The sequence below is a fragment of the Homo sapiens genome, chromosome 6 (genome assembly GCF_000001405.40).
Source record: "Homo sapiens chromosome 6, GRCh38.p14 Primary Assembly".
Taxonomy (NCBI): domain Eukaryota; kingdom Metazoa; phylum Chordata; class Mammalia; order Primates; family Hominidae; genus Homo; species Homo sapiens.
The window spans coordinates 71,448,541-71,467,656 of record NC_000006.12 but is presented as its reverse complement, the minus strand read 5'-3'; the positions used below and the strand labels follow the sequence as shown (position 1 = coordinate 71,467,656).

At 35.8% G+C, this 19,116-nt stretch overlaps 1 long non-coding RNA gene across 1 annotated transcript in view; it reads right to left on the bottom strand.

The window, feature by feature from the left end:
* Nucleotides 1–8,784: 8,784 nt before the first annotated feature.
* Nucleotides 8,785–19,116, bottom strand: part of LINC01626 (long intergenic non-protein coding RNA 1626) — a 37,846-nt gene continuing 27,514 nt past the window's right edge. Inside the window, exons 5-8 of the long non-coding RNA NR_121615.1 lie at nt 16,751–16,835; nt 14,563–14,653; nt 8,986–9,178; nt 8,785–8,877 (exon numbers count right to left, since the gene is read on the bottom strand). This is a non-coding gene — a long non-coding RNA (long intergenic non-protein coding RNA 1626). The remainder of the gene's footprint in view (nt 8,878–8,985; nt 9,179–14,562; nt 14,654–16,750; nt 16,836–19,116) is intronic.

Below are 19,116 nucleotides of genomic sequence, written 5' to 3'. Positions count from 1 at the left end.
TACATACCAATATATAATAAATTAAAAGGTTACTAAGTATGAAGCTATATAAAAAGATTATTTGCATGTATTTATGAAGAAGGGTGTTTCAGTTGTAATTTTTTAAAAATTTGCTTCAGAACAAATCAAAAGTAATGGATTTTACTTGAATTAAAAGATTTAAGATCTGGAAGAGGCATCAGTCATATTCATATTGCTTAGTTATGGTAACGCCTAAAACAATTATTTGAATGTTTCCTGAAATTAATTTTTTTTTTTTAAACGGAGTCTCGCTCCATCACCCAGGCTTGAGTGCAGTGACACGATCTCGGCTCACTGCACGCTCCACTGCCCAGGTTCACGCCATTCTCCTGCTTCAGGCTCCCAAGTAGCTGGGACTACAGGCACCCGCCACCACACCCGGCTAATTTTGTTTTTGTATTTTTAGTAGAGACAGGGTTTCACCATGTTAGCCAGGATGGTCTCAATCTCCTGACCTCATGATCCGCCTGCCTCAGACTCCCAAAGTGCTGGGATTACAGGCATGAGCCACCGTGCCTGGCCAAAAATTTTTATAATTCAATTTATGTGATTGTGATTAAGTTCCACATCTTTATTAACACATGATGAATAACATCAATATTTGGCATTGTTTACAAACATCAAAAATAACCCTGAAAAATTAAAGGAAGAAAGTAATGTATTATAAAGATATGAGAGCTTCTGGTTAGGATGCATAAAGTCAAGAGACCACTGCTCTCACCCTAACAAAGTAACAAAGGAAACAAGCCAGAGAAGTTATAAAGGTATGATTTTTTTTTTTTGCATTAGATTGCTAAAGACAAAAACAAAATCTAAATAAATTAAATTCCAGAAAGAGAAAAGCCCTTTCTATGAAAGAAGAACCCAAAATCTGTGGATATGTAAGGAGAAAGAGCAAACCCGCTATAGACAGAGGTAAGGAGAAGCTGGCCAAAATTTTAATAAAGATTTAATAGCTGTGTGTGGCTAGCCTGATGTATGAGATTCCAAGGAGGTCTGTGAGAGTGCACTTACACACCCAGCTGCCAGTCTTATTTCACAATGCCTTCACTGAACACATGCAGTAGCTTGCAGAAGAATAGGAGCACAGGAAGAGGGCAGAGAGAGCTTCCTGCACCTCAGGCCCTTAATGAGTGCACAACAGTGCTTCTCCAATGCCTGGGAACAAGGAAAGAAGGTAGAAAGATGTTTCCTCTAAAGTGGATCAATTACACAGAAACCAAAAGCTGGAGGCACAATAGTTGAACTGAGAAATATCAGCCACAAGTCATTCAGAGCCTTACTTGAGTGCAAGATAGTAGCATGCCAAAACCTAAGGGCAAAGCAGCAAAGTATGAAGAGATTTTGTGAGGCTTAGAAAGTCAGAAGCAGAGCTAAAGAGACAAAAGACCACCACAGGAATCCCCAAATGTGGGTAGTATAGTCACTGGGATGTAAAACATAAAGACATTTCCAGAATTATACAGTGCCCAGATAAACTAGTTCCTATGCTGCCTGTAAAACATTTGAAACGTGGTGAATTAACAGATCTAACAAAAGCTACAACAAACCTCAAACCCAGCTCAATTATACATCAGATTGCTTTAGCTTCATCACTTGCAGCCAGTCACAAGAACAGACATTTCTTTTCCCTGAGTAAATAATAGATATGTACTTTTACACACAATTTCTGGCATAAAAAATTGTGTGTTATAAAAACAAGCAGAGTAATATGACCCATAATCAATTCAATAAATAATCAATAGAAGTAGACTCAAATGTGACCACAATATTAGAATTAGCAAATAAAAAATCTGATATAAAAATGTTAAATTTTTTTAAGAAAAACTAATGGAAAACATGGTTCACATGTGGGAACAGATGCCAGATTTCATTTTAGTAGAGTACTGGGAACATAAAAACAAAGAAAAATCCTAGGATTTGGAAACCCAATAACATAAATGAAGAATTTATTTGATTTGTTTTACAGCAGCCTAGAAAAAGCAAAAGAAAGGATAAGTGAATTGGAATTACCTAAACTAAAATGAAAAAAGAAAAAAAAATTAGGAACTGAGAAAAGCAACCAATCCCCAGTCTGTGGCACTGTATCAAATGGTCAACATATGTGTATTGTATTCCTAAAAGTAGAACAGAAATAAAATGGTGCCAAAGAAATAATTTGAAGAGACATTGGCTAAGAAACATCAAAAACTGATGGAAGTTATCAACCCACAGATCCAAAACCAAATATGTAGTGAGCCTCAAACCATATAAATACAAAGTCAAGCCTCAAGAAAACGAAGATAAAAAGAAAATCTTAAAAGCAGCCACCACACACATGCATATGCACACATAACACACACACACACACACACACACACTACATTTAGAAGAAAAAGAAAAAGAAGAATATGACAGACTTCTCAACAGAAACAATGGAAGTTAACTGACAATGGCATGACACCTTTAAAAAGCTGAAAGAAAGAATTACACTATCAATTTACAATTCTGTACCCCATAAAAACATTCTTCCAAAATTAAGGTGAAATAGAGATATTTTAAGATAGATACAACTTGAGAGAATTTGGCTTTAGAAGACATTCACTTAAGGAAATGTTGAAAGAAGTTTTTTGGGTATATCAGACAATATCTAGTGAAACATACGTTACACATCTCAGGTCATATGGTTGTCTGGTGTTTCATATTCAGATGCTCAATTTCTACAAAGTATCTCTAGCAAACCATGAACTATTTTCAAAAGAAAAATAGTATACTGATGAAGAGGTCATTACTTTTCTCCAGCCTTTCTGTTGTGATTTTTTTTTCTATTAGACCTTACCACAAGCTTCATGTCTCATCCTGCTCCTCCATAAAAAATTTTAAGAATTATTCAATCCATTGTAAGAGTTAAATGAGGGAGGTGCTCATAGGAAGCCTGAACTAGCTGAAGCCTCTTTTCCTCCCTCTGGAGCATATTTGTTGTGAAGACACCTCAAACTATATCATAAAAATTATAGTTGAAGCAAATAAAATATGTATGATGAGTTATAGTACTCTCTGAAATAACATAGTAATTCATTTACTAAATATCATGTTCTAGTAATTCATTGCTGACTGTCAAACTACCCCAAAACTTAATGGTTTAAAACAGCAGCAGTCATTTGTTTTACTGACAAATCTGCAATTTACACAGGGCATGACAGGGGAAGTGCATTTGTTTTCCACAGAATGTCAGACAAAGTAGCTTGAGTAGGGCTAAATAATTCACTGTTCAGTCACATAAGTGGCAAGTTGGTGATAGCTGTTGGCTGGGACTTAGCTGAGATGGTTGGTTTGGGACTCCTCAGTTTCTCTCACATGGGCTTCTTGGGCTTCCTGACAGCATGGTTGCTCAGTTTTAAGAGCAAAAATTCCTGTAATACAGCACACAGAACCTGCTAATCTCTTAAAGCATGACCCAAGAAGCTGCCACAGCATCACTTCCACTGTGTTCCATTACTCCAAACAGTCACCAGCCCCTCTTTCTCAAGTCAAGGGACAGGGTAAAGACTCTACCTTTTAATGAGATAAGTGTCACAGAAATCTGTGTTTCTCTTTAATCCATCACACATCCATTATGCCCTTTACATTTTCATAGCCTTTGACAGTCTAAAAAACACTTTCCTACACATTTCTCATTTGGTCTTCATAACTACTATTCACATAAAAAGGGTAGAAATATTTATCCCCAGTTTACATAAAAAACTGAGGTTCAGAGACATTAAGTGACTATCTCAGCTTATTCTATGAAGTAAAAACCCGACCGTAAGTTTTCCAATTCTAAATCTAGATTTATTATTATCTTCATTATAATGTACAAAATAATTTTATTTCAGGCTCAATATGTAGTAGGAAACCTACATGTCTACTTTTTATGAACAATAGATTTGTCATCCAATGACAGAATCATGTCTCTGCAAAATTTGGTAAGAATGCCTCAACCTCATGATTGGAATCAAGGGGTCTAAAGACACCCTTGCCACAAACCATCTCACCCTGTTACATAGAGTTTGGGTATGCTGTTCAACCTGTTACAAATATACCAAATCATCCCCTTTTTCAAGCTAAACCTCTAATTACCTCAGCTGGAGTTTCCGTATCCCTTTTCTGGATTATTTTTCTGCATTACTTATTGCTCTAGCACTCTTAACATTTATCATACACTATCTCATGTAACATATTTGAGTATCTCTTGTCTCCACAATTTAAGATCCTGGAGGCTGTGAGAGAGTGAATCATATTTCTTTTTCTTTGCCTACAGGGCCCAGCATGGTAGTTTATACATGGAAATTGCTCAATAAATATCTGTTTGAAGAAACAGATAAGCAGTTTCAAGAGAGTGTGGTACACATTGTTCAGATTTGTTGAAACTCCTTTATTTTATTAGTTCTAAAATAATCTTTCTCAAGCTTCACTAGGCAAAGCCTGTTCTTGGTCGACTACACAGCATATTCATCCCAATGACAACTTTCAAATTTGGATAGACTTTATTCAAATACCATTTCAGTTTTGAAACTAAGATTAAGTAATAAGCAACCATTGAATAGAAACAGATGACCAAAGAGCCATCTAAAAATGCATCTTTGTTTTGCTTTAATGGAAAGCAAATTAAAATTAGCCTTTCATGACCAAAATAAAGCTCATTTTCAGTTTAAAAAACTTATTGGTTGATTATGTGGAAATAACTTTTATAAATATAAGATAAATTTTCTGATTTCCTCTGACATACAAAAATTAGAGCTATTGAAAACCATGTATTTAAGCTGAAAACATTTTTAAAAATTTTTTTTATTATTATTATACTTTAAGTTTTAGGTACATGTGCACAGCATGCAGGTTTGTTACATATGTATACATGTGCCATGTTGGTGTGCTGCACCCATTAACTCCTCATTTAGCATGAGGTATATCTCCTAATGCTATCCCTCCCCCCTCCCCCCACCCCACAACAGGCCCCGGTGTGTGATGTTCCCCTTCCTGCGTCCATGTGTTCTCATTGTTCACTTCCCACCTATGAGAACGTGCGGTGTTTGGTTTTTTGTCCTCGCCATAGTTTGCTGAGAATGATGGTTTCCAGTTTCATCCATGTCCCTACAAAGGACATGAACTCATCATTTTTATGGCTGCATAGTATTCCATGGTGCATATGTGCCACATTTTCTTAATCCAGTCTATCATTGTTGGACATTTGGGTTGGTTCCAAGTCTTTTAAAAATCTGCTAGGAGAACAGGTGCAGGACGGAAATGTATCATCTAGCATTGCATTAATTAAGGCAACACTAGTTACAGTAACAATACACCACCAGATCTTAGGCAAAACATCAGTTTATTTCTCACTTATCTAACAGTCCAATCTGGATGTTTCTAGTCAGGCACTGATGGAGGGACTCAGTCTCCTTCCACCAGTGGTTCAACCATGACTCTCCAGGTTAATCCAGAAATCAAAAACAGAAACAAAGGAGATTGTATAAGAAAATAAAATTCAGTCTCAAAAAAATGAGTTATTACTCCTTTTGTCCTTTTAAACCATTAAGTAATAAACTAACAGCTGAACATTAACCACTAGAGCTCTAAAATGAAAGATTTCAGATGAAATGAAAAACAATTCATGAATATTGCTGGTAGCTTAGATCATACCTTACTCTCTGTCCATATAATTGTTTTTGCCTCTTTGCCTTGATAAAACGTAAAACTCTACTAACTGATTTTGTTTTTCTTTTGTCTTCTCAGATGCAGAACTATGATTTTCTTTTGAAATCAAGTTTATATTACTTTCTATAAAGATAGTTCTATTCTGCTGAATTAAAGATTTGATTTACTTTAATACTTCTACTTAAATCCTGCAGTTTGCAAAACGTGATGTATCCCCTGTGAAAAGTAACTCTGAATTTACTTCATCATCAGTCACTCAAGTAACTTCATTTAAACTCAATGCTTATGATTTTAATTACCCAGTAAATAGATACTATAAACAGATACCATTATATCATCACATCGACTATGTAATGGAGATTTTCAGTCAAGGTAGTGCCATCAGTTCATGCTTTGATGCATCCCTCTGCTCCAAATGTGTGCCAATAACATGTTGAAATTTTTTTAAAAGAAAGCCAAGCACTAAGTCCAAGATTAAAAAATATGATAAACAATTCTGTGGCTCAGAAACAGCAGAAATAAAAATAGATGAACCAGAATAAGTTACAGATCTGGTAGGGTCCTAGTTTAGAAGCAGGCAACACTGAGCAGGTGCTTGCTCTCCTGGTTCAAAGCAGAGATTTGAACCAGGTATCAATTGAAGTTAGTGGCTATGGTGAGTCTGCCCTCTTCTCTGATCAAAAGCGGCTCAGAACATACTACTGATTATTAACGATGGCTAAGCATTACAGCAAGCTGTGAATATAGAGATGCTGAAGGAGGAAAGAATCTTGTGACTACACAAACAACTCTCCTGGTTTGATGACTGGATTCACAAGAATCCTATAGTCATCAAGAAGGAAAACCTCATCAATCGAAACTGCCATTGTAAGACCAGTTTCTATACTGCAGTGCTGAGACCCAGTGGTGATAACTACAAAACAGCTAGACAGGAGAGAGGAAAGACACTGGAAGAGAGAAAAAGGGAAGAATAACATTTAACAAACAAAACACTTCTCAAAATGAGCCCATATTTCAAAGTTCTAAAACCCACGAGGAAATGCAATTCTAGGGAAGACAGCCCTCCAGATGAAATTAATGTTGTACGACAGTCTGAAAAAGAGTTGTTTTAAAGTATGTTTAAAGTGATCAAAACTTTAAAATGAAAGTCCATAACTCATTTAAAGCAGGGGTGTGCAAATTTTTTTTTTGTAAGGTGCTAGGTGGTAAATACTTTTTGTCTTTGCTGGCCACACAGTCTTTTTTTTACTACTCAACTGTACTATTATAGCAAGAAAGCAGCCATAGACATAAAGATGCTCCTCAATCTATGATGTGGTTATGTCTTGATAAACCCATCATAGGCTGAAAATAGCTTCAGTCAAAAATGGATTTAATACACCTAGCCCACCAAACATGATAGCTTAGCTTATTCTATCATAAACATACTCAGAACACTTAAACATTAGCCTACATTTGGAAATTATCTAACACAAAGCCTATTTTATAATAAAGTGTTAAATATCTCATGTGGTTTATTGAATACTGTACTGAAAGTGAAAAACAGAAGAGTTATATGGGTACTACCATTAATATATTATACATAGCTGGAATCACTATTGGAAAGTCAAAAAACTGTAAATTGAACCATAGTAAGTTGGGGACACTCTGTACATAAATGAATAAGCATGTGTGTGTTTCAATAAACCTTTACTTATAGAAACTAGCAGTGACCCAGATATAGACCATGGGCCACGGTTTGTAGACCCCTAATGTAAAGAATCATTAAATTATGAAACAAAATTAGGCAGAAATGTAATAGGAACTGGAGATACGAAAAAAAGATTAGAATCTTGAAATTTAAAATGTGCCCGTGAATATAAAAACACAATCAAGAAGAAAACTGATAAATTATTTATTTTAAGCAAAGAAAAAAAGAGAGATAGTTAAAGCCCATTAATGTTTTCTTGAATTTGGGTACAAGATTAAAATATTACATACATTTAGACTTTGTTTAAAAAAGTGAAATACAATAATCCTGCAGTATTTGTGAGGGATTAGTGCCAGGATTTCCTGTGGATACCAAAACCCATTGATGTTCAGGTCTCTGACATAAAACAGTGTAATATTTACATATAACCTATGAACATCCTCCTGTATACTTTAAATCATCTCTAGATAACTTGAAATGTCTCATACAATATAAGTGCTATGTAAATACTTGTTTTACTCTATTGTTTTGGAGAATAACGACAAGAAAAACTCTGCACATGTTCAGTACAGATGTCTTTTTCTCAAGTATTTTCAATTCATGCTTCGTTGAATCCACAGATGCGGAACCCACAGATATGGAGGCCAACTGTGTAGTTAAGTAGATAGGTTTAAAGCATATTTAAGAACAACCATTAAAAGCATAAGAATATATTGTATGGTTTTCAACCCAACAGAGGGGAATAAAGGTATTCAATAGGACTATACACAAATATCCTTTTCTACCTGGGCACATGATAGCATTGCATTTCCTTGCCCATTTGAATTTAGGTATTCAGGTAACTACAATACTTGAATTTAGTGGCCAAGTAACTACTTGTAGTCAATGGAGGTGGAAGTGCCGTGTGTCACTTCTAGATGGAAGCTTGAAGAGCCAGTGAGTGTTTGGCATATTCTCTTTTATTTGCCTTTCTTAGGAAAGTGTGTGTTGAGATGGAGCCTTCATCGGTTTGGGTTTCTGAGAGACTAAATAAGCCAATGTACAATGATCATACAAAATGGGTGAGAAATAACTTTGAATTGAAGCCACTTATAGTTTAAGCTTTGTTATTGTAGTAGCCCATGCTTTTCCTGTTAGGATTTAAGCAGTCAAATTGAAAACATGAAAGGGGAAAACTAAAGGTAAAGAAGTAGGCTGGCAAAGAGAAAACAATATAATAGTGAAACTAAACATATCATATACCACAAGTAGAGAACATGAGATTAAACTCATCCATTAAAAGAAAAATTTGTCAGATTAAAATAAAATTAAACATAGACCTCTTAAAACATGCTTTACAAGTGACACATACACAGTGCATTAGTTCAGGTTCTCCAAGAAGCAGACACCAAGAAGAGACAAAATTAGATGTGTAAGAAATTTATTGGAGAAATGTTTGTAAAGTAAAAGGGAGAAGAGGAGAAGGAACTCTTCAGCCTGTCATGAAGGTCTGACCCCTGTGAAAGGGAGAGGGAATGTAGGATTGAATAGGAAGACTCTTAAACCACGATCCAGTTTCAAGGCATTTTTGACACTCTAATTGGGAGTCCTTAGGTCAAGGTCACCTGGTTGTGGAGTTCCATGTGTTCCAGAAATGGACCTGCATTAGTTGTCCTGTTATGCTCAGTTGCTGCTTGAGTAGCCTGTGGGAAATGTGGCCTTAACATGAACACAGTGGCGGACCCAGAAGAACAGCAGCTGGGACACCTGGTTGATTATGTTCCCTGAGCAGGAGATATGAGCCATGGATTTTCATGTCTAATACAAATAGAAAGTTAAATAAAGGGATGAGAAACTTCTATGAAGCAAAACCTAAACAAAAGAAAGTAGTGTAAGAACATTAATATCGAACAGAATAGTTAAAGGCTAAAAGCATTTAAAAGAATAAAGAAAGAAACTAAATAGTGAGGGAAACTGTGTTGGCTTTGTGCAGTCATTCTAGCTAATCTGAAACTAGACTTTCCAGAATCCCCATCCCTGTATGCTTCCAGATTAGGGCGGGCCTCAATAGAAATTTGCATGAAATTTGGAAGGCAGGAGTTAAGTAACAACCATATTTGTGCTCTGCAGCTCAGCTGTTGCAGCACCTGGGGCAGCAGCTGGTCCCAGAGCTCCTGTGACTCTTGCTGGACCTCTTCCCACAGCTTCTGTGACTTCTGCACCAACATGTGCAGCTCTGTGGCAAAGGGCTTCAGCTTCCCCTACAGGTGATTAATATCATCAAATGTGGAGGCCTGAAGGCAGTGAGACAGACACAGTTTCCAGTGTGTCCTCTGAGTTTTCATTGTCTTCTCACAGCTTCTGGCTTATTCCTGCTCTCCCCATTTCATGTCCACTTTCCTTCCTGTTGGCCCTGCTGCCTTTAGGTGCAGCCCCAGACAAGCAGCAGCACAGACAGTTTAGCCAGAGCCCACAGTTGTTTATGGTCCAACCCTTATAATAAATCCCTTCCTCAACATTACTCAAAGTCTTCCTGATTTTCTGATCACACCCTAACTGATAGGAAGAATTATCCAAGACAATTAGACCACGAAGAATAACAAGGAGAAACTCTGCAAATCGCAATCATAGTATAGGGGTTTAACATGCTTTTACTAGAAACTGAGGGATTAAGTACATAACAAATTAGTAAATATCTAAAAAATAAAAACAGCAAATATATAAAACATACAATATAAACAACATTGATGATATATGTATATTATCTACATATAACCCAGAAAATAGAAAAAGAAAATTTCAGTACACAGGAACAATATTGTTCACAAAGTAGGTTTCAATAAACTTTAAAGAAATTATATTATACAAAACACGTTCTTTGATAACAATTATAAATTATGAATAAAAATATAGTAAAATATATATTAGAAACTAAAACTCCTAAATAATCCTTGAATCAAAGAGGAAATAGAAATGGAAATTACAAAATTTTTAGAATGAAATTTTTATGTACTATATAAAAAATGTGTGTAATAAAGCCAATGTACATTCATAGACATAAGTGCATGTATTAAAACAAAACAATATGAAAAAGAATTTCAAAATATCCAGTGTATTCAATTCAAAAAACTAAAAAAGACAGCAAAGTAAACATAAAGAAAGTAAAAAAAAATAATAAAAATGAAAGCAAAAAATGTATATATAAAACTTAGCTGGGCGTGGTGGCCCATGCCTGTAATCCCAGCACTTTGGGAGGCCGAGGCAGTTGGATCACAAGGTCAGGAGTTTGAGACCAGCCTGACCAACATGGTAAACCCCGTCTCTACTAAAAATACAAAAATTAGCTGGATGTGGTGGCACACGCCTGTAATCCCAGCTACTCAGGAGGCTGAGGCAGGAGAATTGCTTGAACCTGGGAGGCAGAGGTTGCAGTGAGCCAAGATCACACCACTGCACTCCAGCCTGGGTGACAGAGTGAGACTCCATCTCGGAAAAAAAAAAAAAAAAAATATATATATATATATATATACACACATAATATATATAATGTATACATATTATATATGTATATGTATACATATAAATATACATATACATATATACATATACACAGAGCAAAACCATATCAGTTATATATATGTACATATGTGTATATATATATAAAATACATAATATATATAATATATACATATATAACTAACATGGTTTTGCTCTGCGTACCCACTTAAATCTCATCAAGAATTGTAATCCCCACGTGTTGAGGGAGGGATCTCGTGGGAGATGATTGGATTATGGGGGCGGTTTCCCCCATGCTGGGCTTATAATAGTGAATTAGTTCTCATGAGGTCTGATGGTTTAAAAGGTGCAGTTTCCCCTGGCTCACTCTCTCTCCTGCTGCCTTGTGAAGAAGATGCCTTCCTTTCCCTTTGTCTTCCACCATGACTGTAAGTTTTCTGAGGCCTCCCCAGCCATTCAGAACTGTGAGTCAATTAAACCTCTTTTGTTTATAAATTACCCTGTCTTTATAGCAGGTAGTATCTTTATAGCAGTGTGAAAATGGACTAAACAAAAGCTAAGAAACAATAGAATGAATCAGGAAAACTACCTAGAACCTCCGGAAATACTATTTAAGAAACAGAGAGGTGATATGATAAACTATCTTAAAAATTAAAAGAGGACTAATTGCAGATATTAGAAAGATTTTAAACAGTCATATGATATACTAGGAAAAATTTTTGGCAAATAAGTTGTACAACTTTGATGGAATGAATACTATTTAGGAAAATATAAATCACTAACAGAAACTCAAGACGAAAAGGAGAACCACAATAAAGCAACAAACCTTAATGGAATTATATTGTTAATAGTTAGATTATTATTATATTCCCACAAAAGGGCTGAGGTCCAAATTGCATTAGTAGTAATCTTGACTCCAAGGAAAAAATTATTATTGTTTTATATAAACTGTTGTAGAAAACCACAGGAACAATAGCAACAAAACAATAATCAATACCTGGCAAGGAATATACAAGAAAGCATTTCACTTATAAATTGTACATAAGTGTTTCACTTATAAATACAGATTCCAAAATATTAAATAAAATGCAAGCAAATGTCACTAAGCTATCTATTAAAAATAAATATATCATGAATATATCATGAGATTTTATGATGCTGAACCATCTTGGCACCCCTAGGTGCCAAGAGTAATAAGTAAAGGACAGAAACTACAGAAGCATCTAGGTAAATGCTGGAAACATATATTAATTTTTTATAATTGCACTTATAATAAGAAAATTTAATAAATTCAGAAGAGAAGGCTATTTCCTTATCCTAACTTAAAAAATCTATTAAAAACCTAAAACAAACGTTGTCCTTAATTGTAAAACTTAGGGGCATTATTTTAAATCAGAAACAAGATAAAAGAGACTACTATCACCATTTTATTCAACGTTTTATTGGAAGTCCTATCCATTGCAATAAGATAAGCAAAAGAAATAAAAGATATAAGTATTAGAAAGAAGGATATGACTCTCTTTATTTGCAGATGATATGATTGCATGGAAAAACCATAGAAATATAAAAAAATATTTTAAATATTGAGAAATCAGGAAAGTTTTCTGCTTATCTAATCAGCATACAAAATAAATAGCAACTCAATACACTAGCAATAACCACTAAGATAGATGCTATAGATGCTAGGGTTCTAACAAAATATGGATGGAGAGACTCAATAATATGAAGTTAAAAAAGACTTTCCTCAAAATTTATCTATAAATGCGATATGATTATAGTAAAACTCTCACACATTTTTAAGAAATTTGACATTGTTATCATAAAATTCATTTGGACAACTAAAGGGCCAGGAATAGCCAAGACAACTCTGAAGATGAGCATTAAATGGGGATTTGTCCTATAAGATAGCAATTTCTATATTTATAATGATTAAAAAAGTAATGTATTAAGCCAAGGACAGACAAATTGACAAAGAGTACAGAATACAGAGATCAGAAATAGACTCAGACATATCTCAAATAATGTTGTGCAACAGAATTGTCATTAAAAATTGGTTGGGAATTATGAATTATCCAATAAATGATGCAGCAACAGTTGGTTTTTCTCATGGCAGTGAGGGAGAATCAGATATAAATCCCTACTATACAGGAAAATAAATTTCAGGCTTATTAAATACCTACAAGTGAAAACTAAAACTTTTAGAAGAAAAAAATTTTTAAACATGTATATGAGTTTAAAGTAGGGGAGAATTTCTTAAATGGGGCTTAATAAGCCAAAACTCATAAAGAAAAATATTGATAAACATGACATTAAAATAAAAAATGGAAACCTTATTTGTGTCTGTATTAGTCTGTTCTCAGACTGCTATAAAGAACTACCTGAGACTAGGTCATCCATGAAGAAAAGAGGTTTAATTGACTCACAGTTCCTCAGGCTTAACAGGAAGCATGACTGGAGGCCTTAGAAAATTTGTAATCATGGCAGAAAGCAAAGGGGAACAAGCACCTTCTCACCAAATGGCAGGAGAGAAAGAGAGAGAGAAGGGGGAAGTGCTACACACATTTAAACAGCCAGATCTCTTGTAAGAACTCTATCATGTGACAGCACTAGGGGGGTGTTGCTAAACCATTAGAAACCACCCCCATGATCCAATCACCTCCCACCAGGCCTCACGTTGAACACATGGGGATTACAATTCCACATGAGATTTGGATGGGGACATAGAGCCAAACAATCTCAGTGTCCCAATACACCCTGAACAAAATGAAAAGCAAAGAACAGACACGAATATGAAATTTGCAAAGGCTCTGAGTTACACTTTTTAGTTTACATGAAATTAATTTATATTATCTTTTATCTTTTTAAAATTTAAATCAACAGTTATATTTGAAGAGTGGACATTGCATCTCTGTGTGACTAATTTCTTCAGTTTTTTCTAATTTCTAAGATGAACAAACTTTTATTTTATAATTTTCTTAAAAAACTTAGTGTCCTACTGAATTTATGTTGAAGATATGTTGTCATTCTTCCAGTGTTGAAAACATGTTTATGCTTTTTAATAAAACTATAAATAAAAACATTTTTATAGTTACCTCAAATAACTTCTGTAGCTTTTGAAGTACTCAATATGTGTAATTCAAATGAAGGATAATGCTCCAGACTCAGCCCTTTTGTTAAAAACAGTGAGTAGGATATCAGTGACAACCTGTGAGCTCTGTTCCAAGCCAGAATTAAGTGCAAACACAGAACTCTTGTAATAGTTCAGTATGTGTTCTGTGAACTCTGGGTTTAGAGTGGTGTTCTTAGGCTCAGGCCCACTTGAGTGCACCTTTCAGTTACATGTTCTCTCCTCATGTTGCTTCTTAATTATTTGGCAAAGACAGTTTTTCCAGGCCAGTAGTAAAGATTTCTTTAAATTAACTGGGGAACAGTAGTGCTGGAAACACGGGGAGTTTAAATTAATAGCACTGTAACATTCCGATTTCTAGTACCATATGGTTAAAATAAGCTGAAGGGAAAAGCAGCATATGGTTTATTTCTTTCACTAGAAATTTCTGTTTAGTAGTGACATACTTGGAAGCAGTTTGAAATGGAGAGTTCATGTTTGAAGAGCCTCAAAGAAGTTGTTCTATTAAATTCCGTTGACAATAAAAGGGCAAAAGGGATCTTGTCAAGTCCCCGCTTACCACCATGGTCATCATAAGAATAAACACGGTGTCAGAGAAACTGGGCCATGAAGACAAGGGAATCCTTCAGAGTGGAGTGATTCCTAGCACCCTATGACATTGACAAAGGAAAAGGTAAGTGGGAAAAAAAACCATTAACACAGTTTCTAAACTTCTACTGTGCTTCAATTAGAATCTGAGTCACAATGGAATGCCTGCATTCAGTTAAGTGATTACAAGAATAAACCATGTTCTCTCCTATTCAGAATATGCTTTCTCTAGGTTTTATTTTCTTGCCTACATAATTACAGCACCTGTATGCTTTTGCTGCCAGTACAAGTTTTGGATTAGGATAGAAGTAAGGAAATTTGCCATTTATGTGTGTGTGTATGTGTATATGTGTGTGCCTTCATTCATCTAACATTCATCTGACTGTAGAGACAGCATTGTGCAATAGAAACTAAATAGGTTTTGGAAGCAGGTGGACCTAGGTCGAATCCTGCTTCTTCCACTTAGGTATTGTATCCTTGACAAGTTACTTAGTGAATTTGATTTCTTATCTGTAAAATAGAAATTATAATACTTAACAGAGAGTAATTATAAAAAGTAAGGATTACTTAAATGTGTCAAGTATATGGTACATAGTAAATAATCATCTTCTCTACTGGGTAGGGTAAACTAATAATAAGCTGTCAGTTTTTCAATAGTCTTACAGGTCATTTAGTCTTTTTGGAAATGCTAGTATCTGAAAGAACTGAAATGTGTCTACAATTGGATATCTAACCTCTTTAAATAAAATTCCCTTAAAATAATTAACTATTTTGTTCACATTATACTTAAAGTTTATGCTCATCAAAATTATACTTTATCAAAGCAATAAAATTGGTTTAAATGTTGTTCACATGAATTTTTACTTGGAAATATTTGTATATATCAACAAAATATATATGTACTTCGCAAAGATCTTCTGAGTCTCTTGAAATATTGAGCATATTCTTGATTGAAAATCTAGGCTGGGTGCGGTGGCTTAAGCTTGTAATCCCAGAACTTTGGGAGGCCGAGGCGGGCAGATCACCTGAGGTCAGGAGTTCGAGACCAGTCTGGCCAACATGGTGAAACCCAGTCTCTACTAAAAATACAAAAACTATCTGGGTGCGGTGGCAGGCTCCTATAATCCCAGCTACTCAGGATGCTGAGGCAGGAGAATCACTTGAACCTGGGAGGCGGAGGTTGCAGTGAGCCAAGATGGTGCCATTGCACTTCAGCCTGGGTGACAAGAGTGAAACTCTGTCTCAAAAAACAAAAACAAAACAAAACGAAAAAGGAAATCTAGAATACAGCAAATAATAGGTTCTGAGCTTAACTTTCTGAAGATTTAATCTAAGATCCACACATAATAGATAAGAAAATAAGTTCTTCATCAACAGATCAAAGCCTTTGTTTGAGATAAATCCACTTCTTTTATTTATTCAATTATTTTTCCATCCAGTCAATCAAGAAATAATTATCAAGAGCCAACCAGATTTTGGCCTGGCACAGTGGCTCCTGCCTGTAATCCCAGCATTTTGGGGAGGCCAAGGGGGGATCACCTGAGCTCTGGAGTTCAAGACCAGCCTGGGCAACAGTGAAACACTGTCTCTACAAAAAAAAAAAAAAAAAAAAAAAATACAAAAATTAGCTGGATATGGTGGCAGATGCCTGCAGTCCTAGCTACTTAGGTGGCTGAGGCATGAGAATGACTTGAGCTGAGGAGGCAGAGGTTGCAGTGAGTGGAGACCACACCACTGCACTCCAGCCTGGGTGACAGAGCAAGACTCTGTTTCAAAAAAAAAAGCCAACCAGATTTTAATTACTAACTATTATATTTGATCACTGGACAACTAGCTTAAAAGCCAGGGCTCTTCCATCTCCATAGGCTTGCATCACCCACCTGCCTTCCTCCACTGAATTCTCTTCTGAATTACCAATTCCTCCACGAGGAATGGTATGCTTCTTCTATACAAAACCAGCAAACTGTCCTTTTCACCCTTTTATCTAATCACATAACACTTTGGAATTATTAAAGTCACTCTTCAGGGGAAACAACATATTAATAAGTGGTACAATTGCAGACATAACTCACAACCTACTCAATATTTTCTGAACATCTGTGTTATTTGTATCAATAGCAATGGCATTTTTAGAAAAGAAAGAAACTATATTAACTTACTTATTTTAAGACAAATAATGCTCTCACATGAAACTTGTTTAGTTGCTTTTGTGACAATAAATAATAACTCCTTAGGTGTATTTATCTGTGAAAGATAATAGTAAGTGTGAGAAGATAGAATGGCTATTGACTGGACATAGGGATTGCTATGCTAAAAGGCCCTTAAGGCTGCAAGAACAGTCAGAGAAGGCAGTTGCAGAAAGAAGAGATTTAACTATGAGCACTGGGAGATGCGTGTGAAGAGGTTAAATAGGGATAATGGAATTAAGTGGAGGAAAGTTGTATTAGTATAACACCTTCTCCAATGCCACCATCAAACCCCCTGAACTTAAGTAAAATTAAAATATTCAAAACTAGTAAAAGTGATATAAATTTTAGGTGGCCACAAAAGAATGAAATAAAACTCATCTATAAGTTTTAATACAATTTAGCAGCCAAAAGCCTTGCTTCTATCAATTCCCTATTAACCAGTGGTTGCCACTATACAGACAGGATTGAAGTATTGAAGTCTTAGTTGGTAGGCTTTCTTATCACATAAATTCCTTTTATTCTTTAAAGTTATAAAGATTAAAGATTAAAACAATGGGGCTAAAACATTCTGATGAATATTTGGAATACTAACATAGAAATAACATGACACCAACTCTCTCCAAATGGCTAAACTAGCATCTTGCCAATGTCTTTATTGGTAGTAAAAGCAGTTCCAAAATATGTGTTGCTATTTCATCATTTCTAACTTAGAATTTATAGTTCATTAGTTCCACTGATACAATGGTGTAGAATAATAAGTTCATATTTCAGTTTGATAAATGTGTATATGTTTGAATGATGGAAAGATATGGAGGTGCTTTAGGCTCCCAGACCAACGTACTGAACCTTGTTAACCTATCATGTCCCTGACTATAGAATCGACCTATACTGATACTACATAAAGCCTACCTCAAATACCGTCTTTTATAACGATATCTCTTAAGATGTTTCAGGGCAATGTTTTATCTATTTATGTGTATTCATTCATATGCTATGCACACCACACACATATATATGCACATATAGTTCACAGTCTAAGTTGGTGAATAGGATCGCGTTCACCAGCTTTTATGGAGCAGGAGCATTTTTCGTCATAATTCCATAAAGTAGTTCTAGGGAGTTCCCATTTTTGTTTTCTGATACAAAACCCAGTGGTACAACACAATTTTCCTTGTGAGTAGATTGTCTGTATTGCTTTGATGCTTTCTGATATAGTTTGGATATTTGTCCCCTCCCAAATCTCATGTTGAAATGTAATCCCCAGTGTTGGAAGTGAACCCTGTGGGAGATATTTGGATCTTGGGGGCGGACCTGTCATGAGTGCTCGGGCCATCCCCTTGGTGATAACTGAGCTCTCACTCTGAGTTCACATGTGATCCGGTCATTTAAAAGTGTCTGGCACCTCCCCACCCAAACTCCTGCTTTCACCATGTGTTGTGTAAGCTCCTGCTTTGTCTTCCACTGTAATTGTAAGTTTCCTGAGGCCTCCCCAAAAGCAGATGCTGGTGTCATGCTTCCTGTATAGCTGGCAGAACTGTGAGCCAATTAAACCTCTTTTCTTATAAATTACCCAGTCTCAGGTATTTCTTTATATCAATGTAAGAATGGCCTAATACACTTTCTTTGTTGGACAGTTTTATTTATTTTTTATTATTTTTATTTTTTTGAGACCAAGTTTTGCTCTTGTTGCCCAGGCTGGAGTGCAGTGGCGTGATCTCAGCTCACTGCAACCTGTGCCTCCTAGGTTCAAGCAATTCTCCTGCCTCAGCCTCCTGAGTATCTGGGACTCCAGGCGTGCACCACCATGTTCAGATAATTTTTGTATTTTTAGTAGAGACAGAGTTTCACCATGTTGGCCAGGCTGGTCTCAAACTCCTGACCTCAGGTGATCCACCCGCCTTGGCCTCCCAACGTGTTGGGATTACAGGCGTGAGCCACTGTGCCTGGCCTGTTGGACAGTTTTAATGATCTATTCAAACTGATGTTCTGTCACATCTAGCAGGTCTCAAGGGAATGTCCTCTCTGTTGATCAGGGATAACTTTTTGGTCCCTAGGGATGCCTTCTCAGTTGATGTCTTGCTCTTGTGAGGCAGCTCAATGTGGGAGCACCTCTCAAATAGCCTCTCTGGAAGAACATTCATTGCTAAGCTGTTCAGTGCAAATCCTTCTTTGGTTGGTTCTCAGCTTTAACAGGTCTCCATCTTCACGCCCCAAAGATTTATTGATTATCTTTCTGATCACCTTCCTCACTGATATATTGATCTATGATTATTTACTAAATCTTGATTATAATAGGTTCTATTTTGCTTTCATTGTCACATCACTTTGTAAAAATT